At 47.2% G+C, this 17,753-nt stretch overlaps 1 annotated feature.

Moving 5' to 3' along the window:
• Positions 15,354–16,553: an enhancer, noted in NCBI's record as "P300/CBP strongly-dependent group 1 enhancer chr2:2530602-2531801 (GRCh37/hg19 assembly coordinates)". NCBI's record gives its function as "activates an origin of replication core promoter dependent on BRD2, BRD4, P300/CBP, MED14 and CDK7 cofactors, with strong dependence on P300/CBP, by STARR-seq in HCT116 cells {active_cell/tissue: HCT116}" and the evidence as "EXISTENCE:reporter gene assay evidence [ECO:0000049][PMID:35650434]".

Here is a 17,753-nt window from a genome sequence, read left to right on the forward strand (position 1 = left end):
GTTTGAATATGTTCCCCAAAGTTGATGTGTTGGAAACCATCCCCACTGCAGCAGTGTTGACAGGTGGCATCTTTAAGAGGTAACTGGGTCAGGGGGCACTGTCCTCATAAATAGATCAATGCCATTGCCAGAGAAGTGGGTTCCTGCTAAAACGGATGAGTTTGGCTTCCTCCGTTCCCTCCCCACCTCCCTTTCCTCCTTTTCTCCCTCCCTTCCCCAACCTCCATCTGCCTTTTGCTATGGGAAGAGACAGAAAGAAGACCCTTGTCAGACACGGACCCCTCGACCTTGGACTTTCCAGGCTCCAGAACAGTATGAAATAAATCTCTGTTCTGTATGAGTTACCCATACTCATTACCATTTTGTTATAGGAGAGCAAAATGGACTAAGACAGTTGTCACAATGATTCTTGGTTTCCAGGCTTGTACAACTGAATGGGCAATGATAACCTCTGAGAGCAGAGGGGCTGTGGGAGGGGCTTGGGGAAAGGGCCACTGGCATGTATTTGAGATAGACTAGCGGAGAAGCCAGGAAAGAGGAATGTCAGGGGAGGGGCTGGGTCTGGGTTGGAGGTCTCAGCTAGTGAGCAAGTGTGTGGAGGGAGTGTTTTTAGTCGTGGGTACAGAGGCTGTCTGGGGAGAGAGCACAGAGCAGGGAGGGGCGAAGATGGAGACCAGAGCCAAGACCCCAAGGCTTACCGACTTGTAGGGGAGGATGAAGCACCAAACAGGACTGTGAGGGCCCCGCTGGGTTATGGGACAAAACAAGAGGAGTCCGAGGTCACGGAAACCTAGAGATGTGAAGGACTTTGCCGAGGAAGGAGGCTCTTTGCAGTGTTTAGAAGCCTGGAGGTCATTGTTTATTTAGACAAAAGTGGTTACTGAGTCCCAATGTGGGAAGAGACCAGACTGGACCCTGTTGAGGAGTGAATGGGAAGGAGGAATTGGGAGTCATGTCCTGAGACCTTGCTCAGGAAGTATGCACTTTAAGGAAGATGGAGGAGTTGAACAGAAGCAAGAGGTGGACGCAGGGTCAAGAAAGAAACGTCTTGGCTACTTCATTCATCTGCTTTTAAGCATGTGTTATCGAATGGAGAAAATGTTATCGGACTTACCCAGTTCAGGGTTAAACACCCGTCACCCCTTTTGCTGAGTGTTGGTGGCTGAAGTGTCACATGAGTCCCTCTCCAGCCAGTGCCCATGGCTAAAGAGAGCTGTCCTGTCTAACCGCACCCCCTTTTCTGGGGGCAACCTCATCAGTGACTGGTCATTGCAGGGCTATAAATGCCCAGTCACCTCACCTCAATAAGGAAGGCTCCGAAGGGCTGTCCCAGCTGCAGAGGACTGGCTGATTGATTGATCTGACGAATGGCTGATTGATTGGCAGGGACAGAACTGCAGTGCAGCTTCTGCCTTGCCTCCCCTGCTCACTTTACTCCCCAAGGGATTGGTCCTGGATCCTTCCATGACTACAACCCTTTCCCAGGTAGCCAGGCACTATATTAGGAGGTGGTGTCTGCCATGAGCACTCTAGTCCTGTTTTGTTTACCTCCCGGCAGAGTATTTGCTGCTTCAAGGAAGCTGGCAGAGGAAAGGCTGGACATAGAGCTCCTTCAACGTGCTCCCTCCGCTCCCATGCTCCCTCCGCTCCCGTGCTGCCTCCGCTCCCACGCTGCCTCTGCTCCCGTGCTCCCTCAGCATAGCAGTCATCCCTCCTGGATGTGAAGGGCTTCATTCATGGCCACCATGCTGCACTGAGTCTTTAAAAATACACATTGTTGCTGAAATACGTGCCCCTGCAGCACACACACACATTTCATCCACTCTCTCAATTAGATCACGAACTGTGTCCTGTGACCATACACTGCATCCTCCATTTCTGTCATTTATTTTGCATTAGGTTGAGCATTTTGATCCATGATAACTGAAAAAAATAATTTTTTTGAATTCACCAAAATGAAATAAAGAAAGATTATTAGGCTGCATGATAAAATTCAAGCTTTATAACTGGAGGTGTCTTCAAGTGAATGATCTAAGAGTGAAAAATAGAGTAATCAGTAAGCAATTAAGCATTGGTAAAAGTCCATTAATAATATGAAGAACACCATAAACATCTCTCAGCCTGGGAGTATCGAACAACAATTATATAATGCAATGCTATCTGGATAAAACTGTGGCCTCAGAAAATTTTTAATGACCTGGAATTTGAAAAAAAAAGGAAAAAGTTATTGCAGTCATCACAATGTATTATTAGAACTACTTTTTCCAGGAAAGTTATTTCCTTGCTACATAGTCCATGTGTATTTTTGTGGTACATTATCTCCCTCCTCAGTGGCCAGGTTAACACTGGAGGGCCAGGATCACCCCTGCCTTGTGAATGGAATGTCATCCACCACCTGGAAGATAGCCTGGTGTATGCAAGCACCCAATAAACACTGGAATGGTGGGTGGGTGGATGGAGAGAAGAATATGTAAATGCATATTTACCCCTTAAATTTTGAAGAGTGTCTAGTGAGCCTAGTTGTTAGTATCTGGCACACACATATCCAAATTAATTATACATATTCTAGAGATTTGGGAGGCACTAAACTTTTATGAAGACAGGCAGTATATTATCACTGTTGTATGCTAAGGCCTTAACTCATGGAGGAGCCGCATCCTGGATGGTATCCTGTTCCAAATCAAGCAGTTTTCAGAACTATTGATTTATTTCTTCACTCATTCATTCAAAAAACCATTGTGTGTTTGCCATGAGTTTGACATCAGAGTAAGTAAGATCTTATTCCTGCTCTCATGAAACTCTGACCACTGTTAAAACATTATCTTATGTATCAGTTCCACAATTTATTTGAATTTATTTGCTTCGTTTTGTCTCATCTTTATTTTTCTTTGTTTTTATTTTAGGGGCATGGTTACTCTCCTTCAGGTAATAATTGTGTGGTTTGCTGACATTATATAACCTGCATGTCTGATATTGTAAAGCACATTGTTGCTATTACGAACACTTATTTTTATCTACCCTCACAGAAAGTTTCTCATGCTAAACATTCTGCTAGGCACATTATATACATGAACACATCCTCATAACTATGACAGGATATTATCTCCATACATTTGTTGTGAAAATCATGGCTTCAGTATACAAATGTTTTGTAGATAGACATACATAGGCTGAGAATGTGAATCCACATCAGTCTGATGCCAAAGCTGGGGTTCTTGTGAGCTTCGATGCACCTAACATTGGCCAGGTAAACTAGATGTTAATTCATCAGGCAGTTGCATTGTTAAATCAAAGCAAATAAAAGTTGTTAAAAACAAAGTCATGTTCGTTAAATTTAGTTTTGGAACCTGGTGGCATAAGTGACATATGGAAACTATGCAAGACATCATTAGTCATTCTGCTGGAATACCCAGAAGAGTAGTCAAAGTGCCTGTTCTCTGACAGAGTGTGGGTCTAATGCAGGCTCGTCCCCAGGATTTTCCTCTTTCCTCCAAGCTGTACTTGCTCCTGGGAATGCACTGCCTGTCTTGTTGCTCTAGTCGCTATTCACCAGAACCCACCTGATCAGAACAATCTCTGTGAGAGCACAGCCACCATTTTCACTGTGGACAGAACTTCCTTTCTTCTTCTTCTTCTTAATTTTTTTTTTTTTTTTTTTTTTTTTACAGAGTCTCACTCTGTCACCCAAGCTGGAGTGCAGTGGCATGATCTCAGCTCACTGCAACCTCTGCCTCCCAGGTTCAAGTGATTTTCCTGCCTCAGCTTCCCAAGTAGCTGGGACTATAGGTGCCTGCCACCGTGCCCAGCTAACTTTTGTATTTTTAGTAGAGACGGGGTTTCACCTTGTTGGCCAGGCTGGTCTCAAACTCCTGACCTCAGGTGATCTGCCCGCCTCAGCCTCCAGAACTTCCTTTCTACTGCAGCCACTGCCCGCAGACTCAGGACTCCCTGACATGGCACCCTGGCCCCTCATGTGTATTCAGTCAGAGAGAGCTCATAGGAATTTTCACCAGGAGCAGGTGCGGCGCAGCCCATTGTCAGCAGTTTGGGAAATCTGAGCGACCCCCCATTATCTCAATTTCATCGTCTACAAAAGGAAGAGGTTAGACTGTACACCAGAGAGGTTGCTGTGACCATGACATGGAATCATATAGTTAAAATTGCTTTAAGAATTCTAGAATCCAAAAACAGGATGCAGCTATTGTTACCTTCACTCTGCAGCATTGTTAGAATTTCCCCAGCTGGTCACTGAGAGCACAAAATACCCTCATTCCAGGTGGGGATTACGTATCGATTAATGAAATAGAGGATTCCGTCTGTGTCAGGGTCTTACAGCCTAACGTGTCTGCTGTTTCATTGCAATCCCTCTAAACTGAGCTGCCATGGCCCCAGATCACTCACCTCACCTCCCCGTGTGAAGGCCAGACCTTCTCTCACTGCTTTCTGGAGCTCTTTTTTTAAGGTCGTCCCCAAATTAGGTCAGAGTGCACCCTCAGCCTTTAGTACGTCTGATCAAGAACTAGCCTCGCCCTGCTGCCCAATTCCCCAGCCCTTGTGCTTTCCTCCAGGGTCTCCCCACTCCTGGGCAGCCTCCTCTTTCACTAGGATCAAAACAGGAATAGGTCATGTCTTCCTTATTCTGCCTCCACCCACCAGCCCTTCATCCTTAAAAACTGGCACAATCCAGCCACATTCACCCATCTCATTTAAGAAAACTTAAATGCAGATACAAATGGAATATCCACATAGCTGGGGGTGACTGTTCATCCGTTCTGCCCGAGGATGAAGAATATGAGACTCTGCAGCAGGGCAAGGTAAAACTCCAGTGCCGCCTTCTGCCCACTCCCAGGTTGGGATTTTTTTCACAGCTATTTTAAAGCTGCTTCCTTCTCCACCATCAGCCTCTTCTGGCCACAGTCGCTTTATCTTCCCTGGATTTTTGTCCTGAATATAGTGTCTATAGCCATTTGTTTGTGTAAAAATAGTTATTGCTGTTAACAACAGGATTCCATTTTGCACAGAGAGGAGCTGCCCAGGAGGGTGCCAGGCAGGCAGGAGAGCCCGTGGGGGCGCAAAGCTCAGAAGCAGCAGGAAGGAGCTGCAGAGAGACGCGGATCCATGGCAGAGCAGAGCCGTAGGAGCCACGTGGCCTTGGCGCGGTCTCTCTCTCGCTCTGCTCTCTGTCTGCTCATCCCTAAAACGGAGGTGCTGCACCAGGTTCCTCCGGGCGATCCTTAAGTCCCTGATATTGTGGGGTTGCCAGCAGCCTCCTCGGGAGTACCCACTCAGAGCTGTCTTCCAAAACTTTAGAAATTACATTTCTAGCAACCATGCAGGCTAACCTAAGAAAAACACACCCACTGGAGAATAATAGCACTTAAATGTTTCCACAAAATTTTACGTGGCTACATGTTTCTTTCACTGTCCTTATCTCATTTGATCCTAAGACTCTCCATTCTATAGACTAGGAAACTGAGATACAGAAATCGAGTGGGTTTTCTGGGGGCTCTGTGCAGAGCCAGATTAAAATCCAGGCCCAGGGGCCACCGATGGCTCCAGCAACATGTTTTTCAAAGGGGTTTTATCCTTCCTCCTTTTCCTGAACTTGGAGAGGCTCAGAGGGCCCGGGCTGCAGAGACAGTGCTGAGTGACCAGGCCTACTTCTGAAAGGGATGGAGGTCAGGCCAGGAATGAGACCTCAGGGAGTGGGCAGACCACGGGCACCCACTGTGCCAGCTGGAGCCAGGAGGGGCTGAGGGCACAGGCTGCCTGTCCTGGTTGCTGCGAGGGCTGCTCCCCTCCCTGCTTGTCTGCTCCTGCAGCCTCGGGCCATCGGGAGCTGTCAGCATTCCGAGGGGAGAGACACCTGATTGTCTTTGATTGTTCTGAGACTTTAATTAAAATTCATTCACTTTGCCTTGGTGATTGCTCAGGAGGCTTCTGGAAGGACAGCTACTTTGCAGCCTGTGAAGTGTCCATGTCCCTCTTGATCCATGCTTGGAAACAACACTGAAAGACCCCTCCTGGTCACCCAGAGGGAGGCTCATCTAGCGGCAGCTGCTGCCTCTGCCTGCACCAGGGAGCAAGAGAGGCACTGCCTGTGTCTGCACCTCTCTGGGTCACAGCCCCCAGCATGGCAGCCCCTGGGTACTGTATGCCACTATGTCTGGTGACCACCATGCTGAGCCCACTTCTGGAGCCTTGCAGGACACAGAGTCAAGCACTGGACTGCAACAGCTGAAAGGTGTATTTGCTTTACCTTTGTGTAATGAGTTTACCTTTTTGTAATGAGGAACCTACAAATGGACGGTGACTGGCCTTTGTCCCCACATTCAAGGGCATTAGGGCGACATTTCTGAAATGAGTCCCTAGTTCTTTCTCTCATGGTGCCACCATGACCCTGAAGCTCCAGCCATTATGCTCATGTTCCTACAGGAGGGAGGGAGATGGGAGGAGAGGAGGCCAAACCAGAGGGTCTTCCTTGCATCTCACTGGAAGTCTTTCTTCTGGGAGAGGTTGGGGACATCTAGTCACAGCAGGGCACATCCCCCTCCTAATTGCAGGGGCTCTGTTGACTGGGAGGTGGGAACCGGGGACTGGACAGCAGATTCTTACCCCCTTATGCAGAGACACAGGCAACCTCCACGGGCTCTGCTACCAACTAGGTGGTACAATATGAGCTAATCACTTACTAACTGTGTGTCTTCACTTTTTTTTTTTTTAATATGGGAAAGGACAGCAAGGCCCACACTTCTGCCTGTGGAGGTAAAATGAAAGCATGCATACCACGATGATAATGTATAAGAGCCACACTTGGCCTGAACCTTTGGAAGTGCTGTCGCGTGCATTAGTAGCTACTAATTTTCCAATTTGAGTTGATGCTACTTAGAGCTGCAGACATCTGTCGAATGTCTTTTGGGTGTGAGGTACGACACCGTGGGCAAACTGGAGAAGCCCCATCAGAGCCGAGGATTCTGAGTGCGTGATCAATGCTCCATTCGGCTTCTGCGACCTCATGTGTGGGCCCCATCCCACAGCACATCATTTCTAGAACCAGATCCAAGGAAAGAATTCACCCGACAGTGTGAGTGGCCAGTCACAGTTTAAGTGAGCTCTTAGACAGAGGTGTTCAAACCATTAGAACGAACTCACAATGGTGACTGTCAGGTGAAAAAGGAGGCTGGGTCTCTGCTGCAGACTCCATCAGAGCAAGTCCAGGATTTGAAGCTGAGAAACCTGAAGTCAAATTTTGCCTTTTCTCCTTCCTGATGATGACTTTCTTAGTCTGCAAGAGGGTGTGAAAAGTCCAGGGCTGTCTCGGGTGTAGTGATAGCACAAGGCCACATAGGTGGGAGCAGGCTGCAGGCCCCCAGATGAGAACGGGTGTGCTGTGTCCTGGAAAGGGAGTGTAATTAACGCTTCTTCAAGTCCCAGCTCCGCCACTGCTGAGGAACTGGCTCTTAGGAAAGTCATTGAAACTTCAGCTTCATGAAGTTCACATGGAAAACAGAAATAGCCGCATCTATTGCTGTAAGGCTGCTGTGAAAGTTTAAGCCTGTCGTGCATACAGTGGCCCTTGGCATGCACCAAACCTGCCGGTGGAAACACAGTGAAGCCAGACAGCTGACCGCTGGCCACCTTTACCTGGTTTCAGAGTCATTTTCATTGGCACATAGACTTGAACATCATACTCTTGCCTTGCACCCTCCAGTTTCAATGCCCAGAGTCTCGGGGAAGAATCCCACTCAGGGCACAGAATATACTAAGCTTGCTGATTTTCATGTTTCTGAAGATGTGGCATTCAGCCGGGAACCAATATTTTTCCTCTTCCTTCCTTTCAGGATCCTGGAACAGAGATTTTCAGAGAGAAAATAAAATGTAGCCAAACATTTTCTTTAGTGATGGAATCCTTGCCTGTGGGGTTTTCCTGGGAGCTCAGAGTCACTCATGATGGAAGCTCTTGTCAAGATGACTTGGGATAGAATCCCTCTGAAAATTATTGGAAAAATAATTGGAAACCTTGTGTCTAAGCTGGAATGAAAGGGCCCAGCTGGGCCCTCAACCTATGACATCACAGATGGGTGAGGCCCTGGGACTGGGTCCCAGACGGTTCCTCTTGTTCCTGGGTCTCAGCCCAGCACCACCAGCCAAGGGTGAGCATGAGGCTCTGCAGACATTCAGATTGCTAATTCAATGGATTTACTCAGGAAAGGAGCTGTGACCTAGGGCCTGACTTCTCCAGTGATCAATTCCCCATGATATTTTCTGCAGGACTCACAGAACAGGAATAGCCCCAGCTTTCATGGTCAGCTAAGACTCTCCTACTAGAGAGTGGTGGGGGCTGCATGGGGAGTCGGAGGAACTCAGACCCTTACGTGGAGGCCCCAGGAGCTCCCCGGGCTGCAGAGTCTACTCTGTGAGGGCGCTTTCCTAGAAGGAACACATGAACTCAATGTGCCAGTGACTAGCTGTGGCTGGCAGGTGCCCATCGGGGTTGTTCTTTGGGAAGAGAGCTGCTCCCCTTAACCATGGGACAGCTGGAGCTTGGAGGATGACTTGCAGCTGCGCAGAGAGAAGTTGTCCCAAAAGAAGGTGGCTCCTTGCAACCCAGCACGACTCAGGACGAGCAATAGGGGTCACCTGAAAGCTTTTTAGAAACGCAAAACCCCAGGTTTCACCCCAGAACTTCCCAGAATCAGAACCTGCATTTTGATAAGATCCCAGGAGCACCCCCCAACCCCCCACACTCAGTGTACACCTCTAAGTCTGGGAAGCCCTGCCCTGAAGGAGGTACCGCTGCCCTCTACTTGGCCAGGGCTGGGTTGCCTGGGAATTTCATTCGTCTTTTGGTTTCTTCAGTTCTCTGTCCAGCCTTTACAAAAATTAGTGCCATTTTTCTATTTTAAACCAATGTCACCTTGATCAAAAGTTCACCCTGCACTGCCCTGGATTCTGAGGGCAGCGTGGGAGGAGGCGGTGAAGGCATCTATATTTTCCCTCCACTCAGATATTACAAGCACCTCAGGTGTCTGAAATATCTCAACTCCCCCTGTGCAAATTGCAGGCACTGAGCCGCATAAGCCGGCGCTGGGCTGGCACTTCATCCCGGCAGGCGCTCAGCCTGCAGACACAGGGAGCTTTCCAGACAAGGGGAGAGGCAGCAGCTCTTTGTCCTCGGAGGAGGAGGGTGGGTCTGGGCTGCTGCCCCCTGTCAGCCCAGCTCTCCTCCTGCCCGATCCAGGACCAAGGGCAGGGCACCCAGAGGATAATGAGTAAGTAGGCCGGGCTGTCTGGGGCTGAGCAGCTGAGAATTGCATGCAGACAGACAGGAACAGCTTTTCTTTCTAGAAGGAGGACCAGGAGCAGTTTTGCAGCAGACTTCAGGGACTTCACCCTTTCAATCCCCACAGCCAGGGACAGACTCAATCTCAGTGCTTGCCACCCTGGAGGCACCCCTGTTTTATCAATACCACCTGCCTGCTTCCCGTAAAGCCAGCCCCATTGTCCTCACCAGTACAGCATGTCCTGTGAGGGGCACATGGCTGGCCATTAGTGTCTGCTTCCCAGTGGCCATGCCCTTTGACAGAGTATCCATGGCCTTGGGAGACTCAGTCGTCAGTTTGAATACCAGGAAAAAAAAAGTGACTGCTGTGTGCTCTCAAAGAAGTTGTTCAACCCCTCTGAGGCTTTGTTTTGCCCCTCCTACCTCACTTGTGTTAAAAATAGAAGAAGAAGAATGATAAAAGAGTACCTGTAATTTGTTGGGGAGAATTAACTGAGATAACATTTAGAGTATGTGCAGCAGACAGTCCTTTAACATGTGTGTGTGAAAGGGAGTGTTGCCCTCAGTATCTTCCTTTTGCATCCTTTCTTCAATTCCCCAGCCTCCTATTTGTGTTGCCCCTCCCTTCATTCCTTATTCTTCTACAAATAACTCTCTGAAACTCAAACTGCACTTCATTATCAATAATTGCCTGAATGTCCTCCTTGGAAAACCTTTGCTAAATTACAACCAAAAATGACATCCTCCATTATTTTTGCATTTTAATAAATCAAAGCTAAAGCACCATTTGTCTGGCTATCATTCATTCATTCACCCATCTACCCATCCACACATCCATCAATCCACCTTCTTATACATTCGTCCAGCTGACCCTTCATCCATTCGTTCACCTGTTTACCCACCCATTAATTTATCCATCCATTTATTTACCCATCAATCCATCCATCATTATCCATCCTTCCATCCTTCCACCTACCCATCCATCAATCTACCTACCTATCCATTCATTTACTCATTCATCCATCTCTCCGTCCAACTGCCCATCTGCCCACCTACCCATCCATCCTCGCACTCAGTCGTCCACCCAGTCATACATTCATCCATTCATCTAACCACCCAGCCATCCATAATTTATCCATCCATCCATCCATCCCTCCATCCATTTATCTACCCATCCATTAATCTACCTACCTACCCATGCCTCCATCCATCCACCTACTTATTCATCTGTCTACTTACCCATCCATCCATCCAACCATCCATCCATCCATCTGCCCATCCATTTACCCATACACCATCCACCTGCCCATCCCCCATCTGCCCATCCATCCACCCACCCATCCATTCATTCATCTATTCATTAATTGAGCCATCCATCCCTTCATCCATCCAACTATCTACACACCCATTCATCTACCCATTCATTCATTTATTCACTCACACATTCATCCATCATTTATCCATCCATCCATCCATCCATTTATCCATCCATAATCAGTCATCCATACGTCCATCTAGCCTATGTTCCATCTATCTATGTGTCCATCTATCCCTTCACCCATTCACCTGCCCACCCATTTGTTCTTCCATCAGTCTTGTACTAAGAAGCATTTAAATACCCAGCTGTGTGTCACCCGTTACGAAGAGCTCAAAGTTGAATAGAACAAATCATGAAACCTCTCAGTCCCCTTGTTCTTCATCTGTAGAAAAAAAGCTTTGATTGGTAAGCTCTAAGGCCACTTTTAGCTCGAACATTCTATAACACTTTTATCATCCTCATCAAAAAGCATACATAAAGAGACCCCATAACACAGGGAGCTGGGCTCTGCCCATAGAGCGCTCTATATGCCTAAGGAGAGCTTTAAATGGGAAACAAATGTGTAGCCCTCACAGTAGACAAATTCCAAATGATGTATGAATCATAGAACTTTAAGGAATCACACTAGATGAAGTCCTAAACATCATTTAGCAACAGCACTAAGGTAGCCGTGGCTGTGTGTTCCTACTCTAACATGGCTCATTTATCATCACTTTGTATCCTCACAACAACCTTGTCGGAAAGGTGCTTCTGTTATCCACCACTTACAGATGAGGAAGCTGAGAAATATGCCAAAAACTTGCCTAAATCCACTCAGCCAGAATGCGAGCCGGAGTTCAGCGCCAGGAAGCCCGGTGGCCCCCTGCTCTGCCTTTGCGGCTGTGGACCTGCCTTCTGACCCCTCACTTGGCGGAAGAGCACTGCACAGTGAAGCACAGCGCCTTTTGCTTGACAAAGGCGAGTGTAAAGTGAGGGGTGTGCTGGAGACAAGCCACAGGGCCCTTTATTTTCAGAAGTCGCCTATTTTCCTGAGTTAATTATCATGAAGGCCTTGTCCCACTGAGAATAAGAAAACTATTTTATTAGTTTACTCGAATCCCCAATGAATGAGTGAATTAATGAATTTACAGAGCTTCGGTAAGGGACAGTGGTGTGACAAAGATACAGATGGGTCAACGTCCCTTTAGAATCCTAAGCCCTGAGGGCCTAGAGCCACGCTCATTCCTCATGAAAAGTCCTCCTGTCATAGGAGAATAAAATACATGATGTTATGCTGGCCTCCTTAGCCTTTCTAGTTCCACAGAAACTTGCTTTCTCCTGCACCTCTTTATTTTAAACTTTTTAAATATAATTATTCATTTGAACTGTGTTGCAGTCACTTATGTACACCTCCTGCCCTCAGTGCCTCACCCACCTCCTTAGATTGAGATTCCTGAGCTCTAAGTTTACAAACCCGTTACTGTTTCTAAGGAGCCCCATCCACACACACACACGCTTGCAGATGCACTGCACACACACACACACATACACGCACGGCTCCTAACATGCAGGGTAACACATAGCAGGTGTCTTATGCATGTTTGTGGATTGGAAGATAGATTTCTACCCCTAAAGAAGCAAGTTGTCATCTGAAAAGTTACTATTTATAGCAGGAACAGAAGAGAAGGGAGCCTGCTGGATGTGATCCATGAACTGAGCGTGGAAGGGAGTAGGGAGGTGCAGACGACAGAGAGAGGGAAAGGGGAGGAGGGAGATTTTCTAGGGGTTGCAGACATGAAGAAAAAAAGACCATGCTGTGGAATCTTGATTTATGGCAAAATGCAATTTTAAAAGATAAATGCACAGGCTGAAGTCAGGAAAGCAGGGCTGCCATTCCAGGTTACATAAGAGAAAAATGAGTACTGGCATTCCCTGTCAGGTCAGGCTGCACCTACCTTGCATACTCTCCCTATCCCTCCTGGAGTCTGTCTCTCTTTCTCTTTCTCTGTCTCACACACACACATGCACACATGCACACACAGGCACACACATGCACACACATGCCTTCCCTGCTCCCACTGCAAGCACTCTCACAGCTCTGCTCTCTGCATCCCTCCTGGCCCTGGCTCTGCAGTGGGTGCAGGAGGGAGATTTATAGCTGCTGCATCTCTGCTCCTGCCTCCCAGACACAGGATCATCCCACGCAAAGCTTCTTTATATGGGGTTGTTAGCTCTGCTCTGCTGACTTGGGAGGGTACATATTTTTAATCTTGATTATTTTAATGCCATACTTCATCCTTGGGCTTCTGGCTGCAACCTCATTCGGATCTCAGAACACCAACAGCAGTAAAGCCACTGCCATTTGTCACCCCACACTGATTGCCTGGGATCCTGAAATGAGAAAGTGTGGGAGGGAACACATCTTGAAGCTGCTCCGTCTCAGCCCCACGGACGGTCTCTGAATGCAGGGACACTGGCACACCCCGGCCTCTGGCTGAACAGTGCACCTTGGATATGGCATCGTGGGCTTTAACTAAAGGGAAAAGGCTGTACCTGAGCTGGGAGCAGCATCAATGGGTAGGATCAGAATGTGCTTAAATGCTTCTCTTCTCTGAGAGAACCAGACACATGGAGAGAACCAGACACATCATTGGCAAAGAGCCAATGATGGAACGGAGGGAGGCCCCACGGCAGCTGCAGCTCTGTGAGTCCATTGGAACTGGGCAACCATTGTGTCTTGTGGCCCTCACGGCCGTGTGTCACCAGACCAGAGAAGGCCGTCACAGGCACCTTCTTCAGGGCCACTCCATGTCCTGTCTCTAGTTGCGGTCTCCCTGCTCCTGCTGGGTCTCATTTTCCTCTCACCTCTAACTCCTCTGTGATGTGAAGGGTGAGAAGGCATAAGGAAAGGAGGATTTAGAGAGCTTAAGCTTGCAGAAGGAAGTGCTTCATCCGTAGCTTTGCAACCTTAACACATTGGGTGCCTTCCTGGAGCATGCTGGTGCCATCAGCCCTCTGTATCCTACCACCATGTTGTGAATCAGATTTGCAAAGACATCGTTTGCCCCATTTTGGACATGAGAAAAAAAACCCAGAGAAATTCCATGGTTCCCCTTGTCACACACTAGAGGGTTGGCAGCTAAGGTGTTTCACCTCAACACTCCCGTGTTCCTTGGCACCCCAGCCCAGCCAGGGTGTCAGGCCAGGAAAGAAACCCCAGGACCCACCACTCACAGTCTAGTGACATTGACCCATGGGACAGGGATTTCCCTTTTGGAGAACACAAAGGTGAAGGTGTGTGTATAGTGTGACACTGATGCAGCAATAGGAAACGTGTGCTGCTCGCCCCAAATTCCGCAGTCTCATAACAGATAAGAAGACGGCCCATTGCTGACCTGGTTATGTAGGACAGAGCCTAGTTCCAGGGGCGACGGAAGCTGCTCTGTTTGGATTGATTTTCTGAATTCAAGCAGAGCTCTACTCCTGCCAAAACCTTCCCCATCAGCTTCCCTAATTAAAATTAATTTTCATTCATCCATTAGAATTAAATTTTTAAAACACAGAGACTACTGGCTAGAAGTGAACCCAGGAAAGCGAATCCATACTCCTATGCATGACTCAGAGCTCAACCTTCCCAAAAACAGTTTCTGTAAGGAAGGAGGAGGGTATCTGAAACCAGCATCCAGACATGCAGTACCATTTTGCATCTCACCATGGTACTGGGGGCAGAAGTGATTTTTATCACAACCCAAGTCGAAACACATGCTCCTAAATATTGTTCTGGACATTTTGGTTTTGCTTTACTGTTTCAGTTTGTAATTAAAGAGGGTTCTTCTATTAATGACTTTTACATATTAACCTTCTCATTAGTCCATGACAGCATCTATTAGACCTCTCGAGATTAGATATCTTCAGAAGGCAGCTTGATATACACAGGTTCACCAAGGGGCCACGCCTGCTGAGAAATTCCAAATCCTGCCTGGTAACAGAATACTGCAGGTGGTGGTGCACAGTGATTTTCTAAGCCATTGGTAAAGCCTTTTCAGATGGTATGAAACCTTCTTCATGCAACCTGAAAATCTGACTGGGTAGTTTCATGTTTTAAATTTCCTAATGAGGATTCATTGGTATTAATTTTTGTTTTAATTTTTCTAGGCTAGTAATATAACTAGGATGTAGAGAAAATTTTTAAAGTTTTAAAAATGTAGCCTCCTAACAATTAATCAATTGATGGACCTTTTGCAAACGTGTGATCAGGACAAGTCCTGGGGGTGTAGGAGGCTGTGTGTCCTCACAATGTGCCCTCTCCTGTGGCTCCCATGTGGAGCTGCCGTAAACTTCTAGCAGGGCACCAAAGATGTCTTATTGCTAAATCAAAGGCCTTTTGTTGGCCCTCATTCTTTTGGTTCTTGACATCTTCTCTGCATCACTTTTTACCGTGTTCCCTCCTGGAAAACCTGTCTTTTTTGGCTTTCAGGGCCTTATGCTACCTTAATTTTCATCTTACATTTTTAATGGCTGGTTTGCTCCTTGGATGATGGGTCTTTATCCCCTGTTTGCTAAGTGTGGGCACTGGCCCAGGGGCAGCTCTTGGTTCTGTGTGCTTCATTTCCTATACACTACCCACTCAGTTGTCCCTTCCTGTTCCTGCCTTTGCAAAATGAGAAGAGAAGCCTCCGCAGCCTTGCACGGCCTTCCCCTGACCTCCCAGCTCCTCCACTGCTCTCCACCCAGAGCCCATCCTCCCACCTGATGGAGCAGGCCTTGAGCAAAACAGCAAAGCCAGTCTCCCTTCCAGATTTTCCTGTTCCTCATCCTACCTGTGTGCTGGGCACAGATCATTAAAAATAAATAATCACAGTATTTAATGCTGTCAACACTGGAGCCATCAGAAATACCATTTGCGGTATACAAAATGTTCTCATGCATATCACCTCATTTGATTTTGGGAGGCAGAGGGCTGATCATGTTTCTGTTTTACAAATGAGAACATTAATGCCAAAAGAGGTAAGAATCTTGGCCAAGGACAGAGATATAATAAGTGATTGATTAGAAATTAAAACATAGCTCCTCTCCCCTCAAGCTTCGTGCCCCTTCTAGAATTCCCTATAAGATCAGAGGAGGGTTCTATGACAGATCCCCTCTGGCTCACCGAGCCCTCTTCCCCAGCTCCTCTGAAAAGGTTATGTCTAGGATTCCTAAGGTAAGTGTTAGTAATGAAGTGTATGACTTAGCCCATTGTATCATGGGTGACTCAGCTGCAGCAGTGCCTGACATCACCAACCCTAGTCAGCAAGAGGTCATTTCCTGCATGTCAGCTGAAACACTCATTCCTAATGAGGTAATGACGTGACACCTACTGTTCGCAGAACTGCATGTCTCTGGACTACGTGGCCGAAGTCACTATCTATGGACTCCTTTTATTGGGGTAGAAATTATTCTTCAGGTAAGGACTTAAGCCTCATCTACCTTTGAGCTTCGTTCACTGGTGTTCACAACTTCTCCAATTTTATTATCTCTGAAGTGTGTCTGGGATTCCCATTTGCACAATTCAACTGTGCATTTGGTCCTGCTGATGCTGCAAAACTGGATGGAGATGTGAAAGTCATTCACTCCGACCCTCTTCACCCTCCACCAGCCCTGCCTGCTGTGCCAGGCTTCTACATTCTCACGTTTTCTCTTTATTTAATAGGGCACCAGCATGATGAAGTACAGAGAGCTTGGCGAACACAAGGACTCTAATGTTCTCTGCAGGTTCCTGTACATGCCCCTTAACTTTCGGGGCCTCAGTTTCCTTAACTCTGTAGTGAAAGTTGTAAAATCAGAGTTAATACATGCATTCATATGTTACAGGTTCTAAATGAGCACCAAACATTATTGCTATTATCACCATTATTATCATCTATGAGGTGAATACACCGAAAATGTGGACTAGAGAGCACCTATGATTCCAGGCTGGCTTGCTTGTTTCATATTTCAAGCTTGTTTGAAACCTCAGGACATCGGGAATGAGTTTAACAAAAAAGAAAGAAAAATGGCTGCTTCTCTGTGGCACGTATAAGGAGTAACTAAAAGCAGCCTTGAACTTCGTCACTTCTCAGTGGTTTTCCACACGTACGTCTGGTCATCTTCACCACCATCCTCTCAGAAGATATTAATATGACATGCATTCCACAGGAAGTGGAGCGTTGGAAATCTTGTCACCTGCTCAGGGTCAGGGAAGGAGCTTTGCCAAGTAGCATACATGATATGGAGAGTCTTAAGTTGCAAGTAACAGAAGCTGACTTGGTCTAACTTGAGTATGAAAAAAAAAGAACAATCGATGAAAAATTAAGGTTTATTGGAAGAATTATGGGATAACTCACAGAACCAAAGGGAAGTATTCCCACCGGTGTTTGGGAAGGTCAGGGCCCATCCTAGGAGCATTAATGCAGGTCACTCTCATCTGACAAGGAAGTTTCCCTACCTCCTTCCATCTCTGTGCATCTTTTCTGGCTTTGAATTCCCAGGAGAGGGATTGTCTTCAGTCAGGCATCTGGGTCTGTGTTCAAAGCACATCATAGTCCAAGTACATGGGTCACTGGGGGAGCCAGCCGCTGAGAGCCAACAGCCACCTAGAGTGACCAGTGAGGCCGGGCAGAGGTGAACTTGGGGTTTGCTGTCAGGGCACCTTGCAGTTCAAACCCTTTGTTACTCAAGGTTCTAGGGTAAGATTTTCTATGTTCATTTACTCTGTTTGGTTAGGCAGTGTCATCTAGACTTGCTCTTTATTAACCAGAATTGAAAGTCTTTCAACCATAAACAAAGGTGATAGATTTGGAGAGCTTAGAGCTGGATCTCGGGGGAGTCGTTTCCCAGAGCAGGTGCCGCGTCTGTAGCCTCCTTCCCATGGATTGCAAAGGAACGGTGCTGAGTCTCGGACTCCGGCCCAGGAGCTCAGCGTTCACGGGCATCTTGCCATTCAGGAACGTGGCAAGGAGCATGCACACAGAGTATCCTGTCTAAAAGGTCCCAAAGTACTGATGCCTCCTGGCTTGCCACATTGCCTGAAATTCCACCTTGATTACTTATCTACTTAGGATAAGACCCAGTTTCTTGTTAATAAGTGCCAACTCCTTGTGAAGGCTGTTACATCGAGCCGTATCAGTTGTAAACGCCCTGACGAGGTAGCGT

Source organism: Homo sapiens, chromosome 2, assembly GCF_000001405.40.
Source record: "Homo sapiens chromosome 2, GRCh38.p14 Primary Assembly".
Lineage (NCBI taxonomy): Eukaryota > Metazoa > Chordata > Mammalia > Primates > Hominidae > Homo > Homo sapiens.